Here is a 13,985-nt window from a genome sequence, read left to right on the forward strand (position 1 = left end):
GCATGGATAAAACTGAAAAAAAAATAAAAGGAAAAAGAAAAAGAAGCAGATGGTCAAATTAGGAAATCAATGGTAATAAGGCAGAAAAACTTGTTAAGTAATTATGTTGAATATAAATGGACTATGTAAATCCAAGTAAAATATAAAACTGTTAAATGGTTAAAAATGCAAGCTTACTTGTATGCTGCTTACATGATATGCATTTTAAATATGTTAGGAATAATGTTGAAGGTAAAAGCATATACAAAATGTTATGCAAATATTAACTATGAGAAAGCTGGAGTAACTATAGTAATACCAGACAAAGAAATTAAAGCAAGAAGCACTGCAAGATGTAAAGCAAGATATTTTAAAATAATTAATAAAAGTTTAAATCTAAAGGAAACTGCCAAAATTCTAAATCCGTGTTTACCTAACAGTATAGCTTCATAAAGAAAAAAAAAACTGACAGAATAAAAGCATAAAGAAATTCACTAATATAGATGTAGATTTAACAACAACAAAAACCTATTTAATATCTATTATAGTAACCACACCACACATCAATAATAATTTGAAATAACAGTTCTGGTAATGAAATTATAATAAATGACAACAATTCCACTAGTTTGATGAAATTTCCAATTTAAAAAAATTTGTATAAAATATTCACAAAAAGCAAGTGTGTATTATTTTATAAAAAAAGCCTAAACAAATGTCTTAAGATTTTAAGCTTTTGTATCTTCTAACAACAAAGGGTGAAATTGTGATTAAAATATGAAATTGAAACTAGAGAAACAAAAAATACCAGGAAGTTAAGCAATATACATTTAAATGTCAAGGAAGACATCAATGAAAATTTGAAAATATTATGACATCAATGATAATAAAGTAGAATATATAAAAGATTATGGTTTGCAGCTAAAACTGTAGTGTAGAAAAATGTATTAGAAAGAAATGCTGAAACTCAATGATTAACCTAACTCATTAAATCAGAAAATCCGTAACATTAAATTAAACTTAAGAAATGTAGAGGAGAAAATAATAAAGTCATGAACAACATATAAAGAAATGTAAAAATAATTTAGAATAGAAAATATCAACAACTATAATGAGGACATATTACAAAAAAATCAACAATTATAATGAGGACATACTACAAACAAACAATAAATTTTAATATTTGACAAAATGGATTAAATGTATAGGCACTTCAAAATAACTGATTGAAACCAAAAGAAACCAAAAGAAATATAATATTTTAATCTATTTTCTATTAAATAAATGTAATGTTTTAATAACCTATATGCATTTACATACATTCAGAAATACAAATAGCTTTATTGTTTAATTCTTCCAAGTATTTAAAGAAGAAATAACACCAATCTTATATAGTGTTCCAGAAAATATTGTAATAAGTAACATTTTGTAAACTTTTTTATGAGGCCAGAATCAATTTAATTTTTCTATTTCACAAAGATACTAATAACAAAAGAAATTATGAAACAATCTTTGTCATAAACATAGTTAAAAATTTATGAACAATTAAGCAAATATAATCCAACAACATGTAAAAATAAAAATTTAGTATAACCAAAAAATAGATTCAACATAATAATGATTCCATCTTGCTTTTTTTTGAAAGAACATGGCATACCGATTCTATATAAATACAACAAGCAAAAAAAGAAAACCATGATAATCATGAGAAATAAAAGACTTTTAACAGCCTGTCAGAGTACTGAAACTGATATAAAAGTATCCTAATTAAGACATTGTGGTACTTACATAGAATAGGAAAATGACAAATAAATCAAAAGAGTTTAGAAGCATTTCTCCAAAATCAGCACATCAGAAAACTTTTTAGAATTTTTTTTAATAACTAGTGTTTGAACAATTATATATCTGTATAAACAAAAATGTGACTTGTCTTATCTGGCAAAACTTACATCATTTAGTTTCAGATGGATTTCACCTAAATATAATATTTTTAAAATAAAGATTAAGAAGACATCCTAATGACTTTGATTTAAGCAAAAGTTCTTAAACATGACTCACAAATCACTAACAATAAAATACAAAGTAATACATTGACATACACTGAAGTTATAAACTTGTATGCTTTAATAGTGTATTAGTCCAGTCTTACACTGCTATAAAGAACTACCTGAGACTGAGTAATTTCTACAGATAAAAGGTTTAATTGACTCACAGTTCCACAGGCTGTACAGGAGGCATGGTTGTGGAAGCCTTGGTAAAATTACACTCAGGGCAGAAGGGTGAAGGAGAAACAAGCACATATTCACATACCAGCAGGAGAGAGAGATCTAAGGAGGAAGTGCTACACACTTTTATTAGGTTGGTGCAAAGGTAATTGTGGTTTTTGTATTACTCTCGATGGCAAAATTGCAGTTACTTTTGCACCAACCTAATAAACAACCAGATCTCATAAGAACTCTATCCAGAGATAGCACTAGGGGGATGGTGACAAACCATTAGAAACCACCTCCAGGATCCAATCACCTCCCACAAGGCCCCGCCTCCAACACTCAGAATCACAATTCAACATGAGATGCGGGTGGGGACACTGGGGCAAACCACATGAAATACAAAGTAAAATGAAACCCATAGTAAAAAGAAAGATGTCTACTAGGAGGTGGAGCAAAAGACAAAATAGAAGCCTCCATTGATTGCCACCCATCCCCACAAGGACACCAATTTCACAAATATCTAAACACACACACACACACATACACAAAACAAAACAAAACAAAACAAAAAACCTTCATAAGAAAAAAAATCAGGTAAGCCCTCATAATACCCGGTTTTATCCTCACATTGCTGAAAGAGGCAATGAAGAGGTAGAAAAAACAGTCTTGGATCACTCACAGATGCCAACCCTCTCTCACCCACCAGCAGCAGTTGCTGTGGAGTGCAGCTCTGGGCAGTGAGGGAGGGAGAGCACAGCAACTGTGAGTCATTAAACTCAGTGCAGTCCTGTTAGAGCAGAAAAAGAAAATGGATCAAACTCAACTAATGCCTGCACACAGAGGGAGCATTTAAACCAGCTGTAGCCAGAAGGTAATTGCCAATCCTAGCAGTCAGAATTTGAGTTTTTGGAAACCTAGCCACTAAGGGCTAAAGTGCTCTAAGTCTCTAAGTAAACTTGATAGGCAGCATAGGCCACAAGGACTATAATTCTTAGGTGAGTCCTAGTGGAGAACTGGGCCCAGAGACAGTGGACTGGGAAGCATACGACCTAACCCCAGGCTGCATGGCTTGCAGCTCCCAAAGAACCCCCTTCCTTCCACTTGAAGAGATGAGAGGGAAGAGTGGGGAGGACTTCGTCTTGAATCTTGGATACCAGCTTAGCCACAGCAGCATAGCGCAATAGTCAGAGTTGTGAGGCCCCTATTTCAAGCCCTACCTCTGGGGTGACATTACTGGACACACATTGGGCCAGAAGGGAAACTGCTACTTGAAGGAAAGTACCCAGTACTGGCAACATTCATTACCCATTACCTGAAGAGCCCTTTAGCTCTGAATAACAAGTAGTGATACCCAAAAGGTACTACTACACAGAGAGCCTTGGACGAGCCTCTGAGACTTGCTGGTTTCAGGTGAGACTCAATATTCCCAGCTGTGATGGCTATGGGGTGAGACTCTTTTTGCTTGAGAAAAGCAGAAGGAAAAGTTAAGAGGACATTTTATTGTACTTTAGGTACCAGCTCAGACACAGGAAGGTGGAGCACCAGGCAGGCTCATGGGGTTCCTGTTTCCAAGACTTGCCATATGAATAGCATTTATGGACCTTCTCTGGGCCAGAGGGGAGCCCCCAGTCCTGAGGGGTGAGTCCCACACCAGGCAGGATTTACTGCAAGCTGACTGAAGTGACCCTGTGCCTTAAAGAAACATTGGTGGTGGTCGGGTAGTACACCACAAGGCCTGTGGTGGTCATGGCTACAGGGTGAGGCTCCTCTATCTTTTGAAAGAAAGGAAAAGTGGAAAGGACTACATCTTGTGATTTGAGTGCTGGCTCAGCCACAGTATAATAAAACACCAGATAGACTTCTAAGGTGTTTGACTCTAGCCCCTGATGGCACTTCTGGACCTACCCAGGGCCTGAGGGATCTTGACACCCTGAAGGAAAAGATACAGACCTGCTTACTTTTGTCATCTGCTGATTGTAGAGCCCCATGGCCTTGAGAAAACATAGGCAGTAGCCATACTGGGCTTGGCCTGTTCCATAAAGCAGATAAAGCTTACATAACAACACCCAAGTTTCTTTAATACTGGAAAACGTTCTCAAAAAGGATGAGTATGAACAAGCTCAGACAATGAAGACTACAATAAATACCTGACTTTTCAATGTCCAGACACTAAGAGCATCTACTAGCATCACCACCATGCAGGAAAACATAACCTCACCAAATGAATCGAATAAGGCACCAGGGACCAATCATGGAGAAACAGAGATATGTGACCTTTCAGAAAGATAATTCAAATATCTATGTTGAGGAACTCAAAGAAATTCAAGATAACACAGAGAAGGGATTCAGAATCCTATCAGATAAATTTAACAAAGATTGAGACAATTTAAAAGAATCAAGCAGAAATTCTGGAGCTGAAAAATGCAAGTGACACACTGAAGAATGCATCAGACTCCTTTAGTAGTGGAATTTATCAAGCAGAAGAATTACTGAGCTAAAGACAGGTTATTTTAATATACACAGTCAGAGGAGACAAAAGAAAAAAGAAAAGAAAAACAATGAAGCATGCCTACACGTTGTAGAAAATAGTCTCAAAAGGGCAAATCTAAGAATTACTGGCCTCGAAGAGAAGGTAGACAAAAAGATAAGTTCATTCAAAAATTAATAATGGAGAACTTCCCAAACCTAGAGAATGATATCAATATCCAAGTACAAGAAGGTTATAGAACACAAAACAGATTTACCCCAAAGAAGACTACCTTGAGGTACTTAATAATTGAATTCCCAAAGACCAAGGATTAAGAAAGAATCCTACAAGAAAAAAGAAATAAAATTCAATGAAACTCCAGTATGTCTGGCAAAAGACCTTTCAGTGGATTACTTACAGGCCAGGAGAGAGTGGCATGACATATTTAAAGTGATGAAAGAAATAAATAAAGATGTTTACCCTAGAGTACGATATCCAGAGAAAATATACTTCAAACATGAAGGAGAGATAAAGGCCTTTCCAGACAAACAAAAGTGGAGAGATTTCAACACCAGACACGTCCTACGATAAATGCTGAAGGGACTACTTCAATCAGAAAGGAGAGGATGCTAGTGAACAACAAGTAATCATTGGAATGTATAAAACTCACTGATAATAAGTACAGAGGAAAACACAGAATATTATAACACTGTAGCTGTGGTGTGTAAACTAGTTTTATCCTAAGTAGAAAGACTTGAATATGTACTAGTCAAAAATAATAACTTCTCAATAACAGATAGTGTGATAAGATGTAAATAGAAAGAATAAACAAATTAAAAGTAGGGGGGTGAGGATAAGGTGCAAAATTTTTATTCATTTCCTTTTTGCTAACTTGTTTGTTTATGCAAAAGTGGTTATAAAATGGTATTTACAAACTTCATGGTAACCTCAAACTGAAAAACATACAAGGGAAACACAACAAATAAATACCAGGAAAATAAATCTTATTACCGGAGAAAATAACCTTCACTAAAGGAAAACAGAATGGAAACAAAGAAGGAAAAGAAGACCAAAAACAACCAGAAAACAAATTAAAAAATGACAGGAGAATGTCCTTATTTGTCAGTAAAGCATCAAATGTAAATGGACTAAACTCTCCAACTAAAAGACACAGCCTGATTGAATGGATGAAAAAACTAGACTCACTGATCTCTCATCTATAAGAAAAATACTTTAGCCTTTAAGGAAATACATACACTAAAAATTAAGAAATGGCAAAAGATATTCCATGCCAATGGAAACCAAAAAAGAACAGGAGTAGCTGTACTTATATCACACAACATAGATTCCAAGAAAAAAAAAACTGATAAAAGAGGAAAAGAAGGTAAATATATATTGATAAAATGGTAAGTTCAGCAAGATAATATAACGATTTTATGCATATATGCACCCAACATTTGAGGACACAGATATATTAAGAAAACATTATTTGAGCTAAAGAGAGATAAGCCCTAATACAATAACAGCTGGAGACTCAACACCCCACTTTCAGCATTGGGCAGATCTTCCAGACAGAAAATCAACAAAGAAACATTGGACATAATCTGCATTATAGATCAAATGTGTCAAACAGATATTTCCAGAACATTTCATCCAAGAACTGCAAAATACATATTGTTCTCCTCAGCACATGGATTATTCTCAATGATAGACCACGTTAGGTCACAAAACAATTATTAAGACACTCAAAAAATTGAAATATAAAACATCTCCTGTGACCTCAGTGGAATAAAACTAAAAATCAAAAATAATAAATCTTGGAAACTATAGAAATTCATAGAAATTAAACAATATGCACCTGAATGACCAGTGGATCACTTAGAAATTAAGAGAAAAATGGATAAAAAAATTGAAACAAATGATAATGGAAACACAACCTACCAAAACCCACAGAACACAGAAAATGCAGTACTAATAGCAAAGTTTATAGCTATAAGCACCTACATCAAAAAAGAGAAAAAACTTCAAATAAAAAATTTAATGCTTAATAGCAAAGAGCTAAAAAAGCAAGAGCAAACCAAACCCAAATTAGTAGATAATGTGAAATAATAAAGATCAGAGCAGAAATAAATACAACTAAAAGGAAAGAACAATAAAAAGCATCAATAAAAATAGTTTGCATTTTAAAAATTAAACAAAGTCGATAAAACTTCAGTGACAGAAACTGAGAAAAAAAAAGGAAATCCAAATAAGTAAAATCAGACATTAAAAAAGAGACATTACAACTGATACTGCAGATATTCAATAGCTCATTAGCAGCTACTATGAGCAACTACTTGCCAGTACACTGGAAAATCTCAAGGAAATTGTTAAATTCTTAGACATGTACAACCTACGAAGGTTGACTCATAAAGAAATCTAAAACCTAAATAGACCAATAGCAAATAATGAGATCAAAGCTGCAATAGTCTCTCAGTAAAGAAATGCCTAGGACCCTGTGATTTTACTGCTGAATTCTACCAAACATTTAAAGAACTTATACCAGTTCTACTCAAATTATTCTAAAAAATTGAGGAGAAAGGAATACTCCAGATTAAATGTACACGGCCAGTATTACCCTGATAACAACACCAAATAAAGACATATCAAAAACATAAAACTACAGTCCAATATATTTGATAAATATGGTGCAAAAATTCTCAACAAAATAGTAGCAAACAAAATTCAACAATATATTAGAAAGATTGTTCATTATGACCAATTGGGATTAACTCTGGGATTCAAGGATGGTTCAACATATGTAAAACAATTAACATGATACATCATTTCAGCAGAATAAAGGATAAAATCAATATGAATGTTTCAGTTGACACTGAGAAAGCATTCAATAAAATTCAACATCCCTTTATAATAAACGCCCTCAAAAAAAACAGAATAGAAAGAAGATACTTCAACATAATAAAAGTCATATGTGATAGACCCATGCCTAGTATCCTCCAAAATGGAAACAAACTAAAAGCCTTTCCTATACAATCTAGAATATTATGACAATGCCCACTTTCTCTACTGTTATCAGTATAGTACTGAAAATTCTATAGGTGGAGGAATCTATAGAGATATAAAGGGCATCCATGTTGAAATGGGAGAAGTCAAATTATGATGATTTGCAGATGATATAATCATCTATTTGGGAAAACATAAAGACTCCACCAGAAAAACTATTATAACTAATAAACAAATTCAGTAAAGTTGAAAATCAACATACAAAACTCAGTAGTATTTCTATATGCCAACAATAAATGATTTGAAAAATAAATTTTAAAAGTAATATCACTGACAATAGCCACAAATAAATTGAAATACAAATGAATTTACGGAAAGAAGTGAAATATTCTCTGTAATAAAAACTATAAAAAAAACTAATGGAAAAATTTGAGGACATCAAAAAATGGAAAGATATTCCATGTTCATGGATAGAATGAATCAAAATTGTTAAAATGTCCATACTACCCAAAGCAATGTAAAGATTGAATGAAATAACGATTACATTCCCAATGGCATTTTCACAGAAATAGAAGAAACAGGCCTAAAGTTTATATAGAGCAATGAAAGATCAAGAATGGCCAATGCAAAAAGAATGAGACTGGAGGAATTACATTCTCTGACTTCAAATTATACTACAGCACTCTAGTAGGCAAAACAGAATGGTACTGGCATAAAAAAGACACATAGACTAATGGAACAGAATAGAGAACACGGAAATAAATCCACTTACCTACAGTGAATTCATTTTCAAAAAAGTTGCCAAGAACAAACATTGGAAAAAAGAAAACTTCTTTAGTAAATAGTGCTGGAAATAATGGATATTCATATGCAGAAGAATAATACTAGATCCTTATCTTGTACCATATACAAAAATCCAATCAAAATGGATTAAAGACTTGGCTGGGCACAGTGGCTTACATCTGTAATCCTAGCATTTTGGGTGGCTGAGGCACGCAGATCACTTGAGGTCAGGAGTTTGAGACCAGCCTGGCCAACATGGTGAAAACCCACCTCTACTAAAATTACAAAAATTAGCCAGGTGTGGTGGCACATACCTGTAATCCCAGCTACTAAGTAGGCTGAGGCACAAGAATCACTTGAACCTGGGAGGTGGAGGTTGCAGTGAATTGAGAGCACAACAATTGCACTCCAGCCTAGATGAGTGGTCTCACAAAAAATAAATAAATAAATAAATGGATTAAAGCCTTAAATCTAAGATTTAAGTAATTTCAAACTATGAAACTACCACAAGACAACATTGGAGAAACTCTCCAGGACTTTGAACTGGGAAAATATTTATTGAGTAATACTTCACAAGTAGTAGCAACCAAAGCTAAAATAGACAAATGGAATTACATTAAGTTAAAAAGCTTCTGCAAAACCAAAGAAACAATCAATAAGGTGAAAGGACAACCCACAGAATGGGAGAAAATATTTGTAAACTACTCATTTGAGAAGGGATTTCTTACCAGTATATAAAAGGAGCTCAAACAACTGTATAGGAAAAAAATTAATAATTTGATTACAAAATTGGAGACAAGTCATCATCATGGCAAATAGGAGGCAGGACTAGACTGCAGCTCCAACTCTGATGAACAGAGCAGTATGTGGAATCTCGCATTGTAGATTTTAGCTGCAGATCAACTGCAAGAACAAACCAGCAATCCTGAGAGGACCCACAGACCCTTTGAAGGGAGCCGACTATTCCTACAGAATCTGGGAGACACCCCAAATAATGTGAATGTCCCAGTTGCAAAAATGGGAAAGGGAGAGCTGCCTCTTCTGAACAAACACCACCACTGGAAAAACTGAAGGTCTGCTTGTGGGAAAAATTTCTGAACTTACCTGGAGCTGAGTCAATTTAGAGAGCCAAGCAAAATACAGGCATAGAGGAAGCATCAGAAAGGCCCTGGGAGCTCGTTCAGTATCCAATCAAGCCATTCCTGCCTGGCACCACAGAGAGCCATCAGGAGGGTGGCCAGGTGGTGGGGGAGGAAACACCACAGGGAGAAGGAAATATCCAGTTGAATTTTGTAACAACTTGAACAGTGCGAGAAGCCTCCTGACCAGAACTCAGGGGAGGGTGCAAATCTGGTGTGCAGACTCCATGGACAGGGGAAGAACTAAGCCCTTTTCTCTCACAGCTGGAAGGCAGGTGTCATGAGGCAAGTTTTCAAGCTTGACTTGCCCACTGCTTGGAAACAGACTCGGTACTGTTAGGGGGACACAGTGGGAGTGAGACTGGTCCTTTGGTTTGAGAGGAAGCTGGGTGAGGCCTCTGACAGCCGGCTTTCCCCCACTTCCTTGACAACCTGCATGACTCAGCAGTGGCAGCCATAATCCTCCTAGATACACAACTCCATTGACCTGGGAACCTCACTCCCATCCCCCACAGCAGCAGCAGCAAGACCTACCCAAGGGCAGTCTGAGCTCAGACTTGCCTAGCCCTGCCCCCACTTGGTGGTCCTTCCCTATCTAACCTGGTAGCTGAAGACAAAAGGCATATAATATTGGGAGTTCTAGGGCTCTGCCCACTGCTGGTTCCTCTCCATACTAACACAGCTGATGCTCTCTGGAAAGTTCCACCTTCTGGAATGAAGCCAACCAGCACAAAAATAGAGCATTAAACTACCAAAGCTAAAAATCCTCACAGAATCCATAGCACCTCCCCTCCACCTCCACTGAAACAGGCACTTACGTCCATGGCTGAGAGACCCATAGATTGTTCACATCACAAAACTCTGTGCAGACAACCCCCAGTACCAGCCTGGAGCCAGGCAGACTTGCTGGGTGGCTGGGCTCAGAAGAGAGACAACAATCACTGCAGTTTGGCTCACAGGAAGCCACATCCATATGAAAAGGGAGAGAGTACTATATCAAGGGAACACCCTGTGAGACAAAAGAATCTGAACAACAGCCTTCAGCCCTAGTCTTTCCCTCCGACAGAACCTATCCAAATAAGAAGGAACCAGAAAATCCACTCTGGTAATATGACAGAATAAGACTCTTTAACACCCCCCAAAACATCACACTAGTTAACCAGCAATGGATCCAAACAAAGAAATCCCTGATTTACCTGAAAAAGAATTCAGGAGTTTAGTTATAACGCTAATTAGAAAGACACCAGAGAAGGTGAAGCCCAATGCAAGGAAATCCAAAAATCGATACAAGAAGTGAAGGGAGAAATATTCAAGGAAATAGATAGCTTAAAAAAATCAAAAATTTAGGAAACATTGGATACAGTTATAGAAATGTGAAGTGCTCTGGAAAGTCTCAGCAATAGAATTGAACAGTAGAAGAAAGAAATTCAGAGCTTGAAGACAAGGTCTTCAAATTAACCCAATCCAACAAAGACAAAGAAAAAAGAAAAGAAAATATGAATAAACCCTCCAAGAAGTCTGGGGTTATGTTTAATGAAGAACCTAAGAATAATTGGTGTTCCTGAGAAAGAAGAGAATTATAAAAGCTTGGAAAACACATGTGGGGGAATAACTGAGGAAAACTTCCCCAGCTTTGCTAGAGACCCAGACATCCAAATACAAGAAGCACTTAGAACACCTGGGAAATTCATTGCAAAAAGATCATCACCTAGACACATTGTCATCAGGTTATCCAAACTTAAGACCAAGGAAAGAATCTTAAGAGCTGTGACACAGAAGAACCAGGCAACCCATGAAAGAAAATATATAAGATTAACAGCAGATTTTTCAGCAGAAACCCTACAAACTACAAGAGATTGGGGCCCTATCTTCAGCCTCCTCAAACATAACAATTGTCAGCCCAAATTTTGTGTCCACTGAAACTAAGCATTACATATGAAGGAAAGATACAGTCTTATCCCATCTTAGAAAAACCATGGATGGGGAATTCTATAACTAGAGGCCTTTTCTGGTTTGCTGCTATTCCTCTCCTTAAAAGGTCACTACTTAATATTTACATTATGATGCAACAAGGATGGAAGGCAACAGTAGGAGCCATAGAAGCACAATAACAATCCACATACTTTTTAGGCTCAGCAGTAGCACAGAACAGACGGGCCCTAGATGTCCTCACAGGTGAGGTAGGTGGTACCTGTGCAGTCTTAAATGAAACATGCTGCCTCTGGATCAACACCTCTAGTCAAGTCGAAGAAAACCTACAGATGCTTAAAGATCAAGTGAAAATCATTCGCAGGTTAAGAGAAAATGCAGTCTCCAGCCCTGGATGGCTACAATCCCTCTTTAATAAATTCCAATCTTCACTGTGGACCTGGTTAGTTCCATCATTAAGCCCCCTATTCATATGTTTTATATTAATGTTTGGACCTTGTCTAACATTGTTAATGTTACTATAACTTGAATTACTTCCTCTCACCTAGAAGCAATCAAACTCCAAATGGTGCTGCAGACCGAACCACATATGTACACACCTTTCTTCCGAGGACACTTAGATCAACCCCAGGAGGAACCCTAGCTGCTGTTCCCCACACAATGCCCCTTTTCAGCAGGAAGTAGCCAGAGCGTCATCACCCAACACCTCCTAACATCAATTAGGATTACCACTCCAGAGTGGGGAATGATACAGAAGTTAAGAAGGAATTACTTAGGCAGATAGCAAGGGCATGGGAGTCCTTGGTAAGGCTTTTCTTTTTAATGAAAAGCAGCCCCAAATCATTTTCTAACAAAGAGAAGCTTGTAAGCTGGGAGCTTGCACAGGTGAATGCTGGCAGGAACTAAGAACTAGACATTTTCAAAAGGCAGCTCCATCTTCTCTTTTCTGCCAGTCACGTGTACTGTAAAGGAGTAGACAAGATGGTGCCGATCAACTGGAATGCCCATTTGCATAAGAAGATTAGGATGGGGTGACCAGCTTTTCCCATGCGCTATGTAAAAGTCATACCTGATCAAACCAATCTGTGAGCTCTATACAAATCAGACACTGCACTCTCCAGCCTGCCTATAAAATCTGCTGCAGTTCATCACCTCTCCCCTTTTTCAGATGTCTGTCTCTCTTTGGCAAGGAACTGCTCTATTCTTTCCTTTCTTCTGTCTATTAAACTTTCCACTCCTTAATGCTCCCCCAAAAGAAAAGATACAGTCTTTTTCAGACAAACGAATACTGAAAGAAATCTCCACTACCAAGCCACCACTATAAAAACTGCTAAAAGGAGCTCTAAATCTTGAAATAAACCCTGAAAACACATCAAAACAGAACCGCTTTAAAGCATAAATCACACAGGACCTATAAAACAAAAATACAAGTTAAAAAGCAAAAACAAAAATGCCAAAGTACACATGAAATAAAGAGCATGATGAATGCAATGGTACCTCATATTTCAATGTAACATTGAATGTAAATGACCTAAATTCTCCACTTAAAAGATACAGAACTGCAGAATGGATAAGAACTCACCAACGGACTATCTGCTGCCTTCAGGAGACTCACCTAACACATGAGGCCTCAGTTAAAGTTAAATTAAAGGGATGGGAAAAGGCATTTCATGCAAATGGACACCAAAATCAACCAAGGGTAACTATTCTTATATCAGGCAAAACAAACTTCAAAGCAACAGCAGTTAAAAGAAACAAAGAGGAAAATTATATAATGGTATAAGGCCTCGTCCAAGAGGAAATATTACAATCCTAAACATATGCACCTGACACTGGAGCTCCCAAATGTATAAACAATTACTAATAGACCCAAGAAATGACACAGACAGCAACATAATAATCATAGGGGACTTCATTACTCCACTGACAGCACCAGACAGATTATCAAAACATAAAGTCAACAAAGAAACAATGAGTTTAAACTATACTTTGGAACAAATGGACTTAACAGATATATACAGAACATTTCATCCAACAACCACAGAAAACACATTCTATTCAATAGCACATAGAACTTTCTCCAAGATAGGCCATATGATAGGCCATAAAACCAGCCTCAATAAATTTAGAAAACTGAAATTCTATCAACCACTCTTTCAGACCATGGGATAAAACTAGAAATTGACTACAAAAGGAACCTTCAAAATCATGCAAATACATGGAAATTAAATAACCTGCTCCTGAATGAGCAGTGGGTAAAAAACAAAATCAAGATGGAAATTTAAAAATTATTTGAACTGAATGACAATTATGACACAACCTACCAAAACCTCTGGGATACAGCAAAGGCAGTGTGAAGAGGAAAGTTCATAGACCTAAATTCCTACATTAAAAAAAAAAAGAAAAAAGAAACCTGAAAGAGCACAAATAGAAATTCTAAGGTCACACCTCAAGGAACTAGAGAAACAAGAACAA

General features: G+C 36.4%; 1 annotated feature.

Annotated features, from left to right (window-relative positions):
• Positions 10,296-10,838: an enhancer, noted in NCBI's record as "NANOG hESC enhancer chr3:104042504-104043046 (GRCh37/hg19 assembly coordinates)". NCBI's record gives its function as "activates a minimal SCP1, AML or CMV promoter by ChIP-STARR-seq in naive H9 embryonic stem cells {active_cell/tissue: H9 hESC(naive)}" and the evidence as "EXISTENCE:reporter gene assay evidence [ECO:0000049][PMID:30033119]".

The sequence above is a fragment of the Homo sapiens genome, chromosome 3, assembly GCF_000001405.40.
Source record: "Homo sapiens chromosome 3, GRCh38.p14 Primary Assembly".
In the NCBI taxonomy this organism is placed as follows: Eukaryota; Metazoa; Chordata; class Mammalia; order Primates; family Hominidae; genus Homo; species Homo sapiens.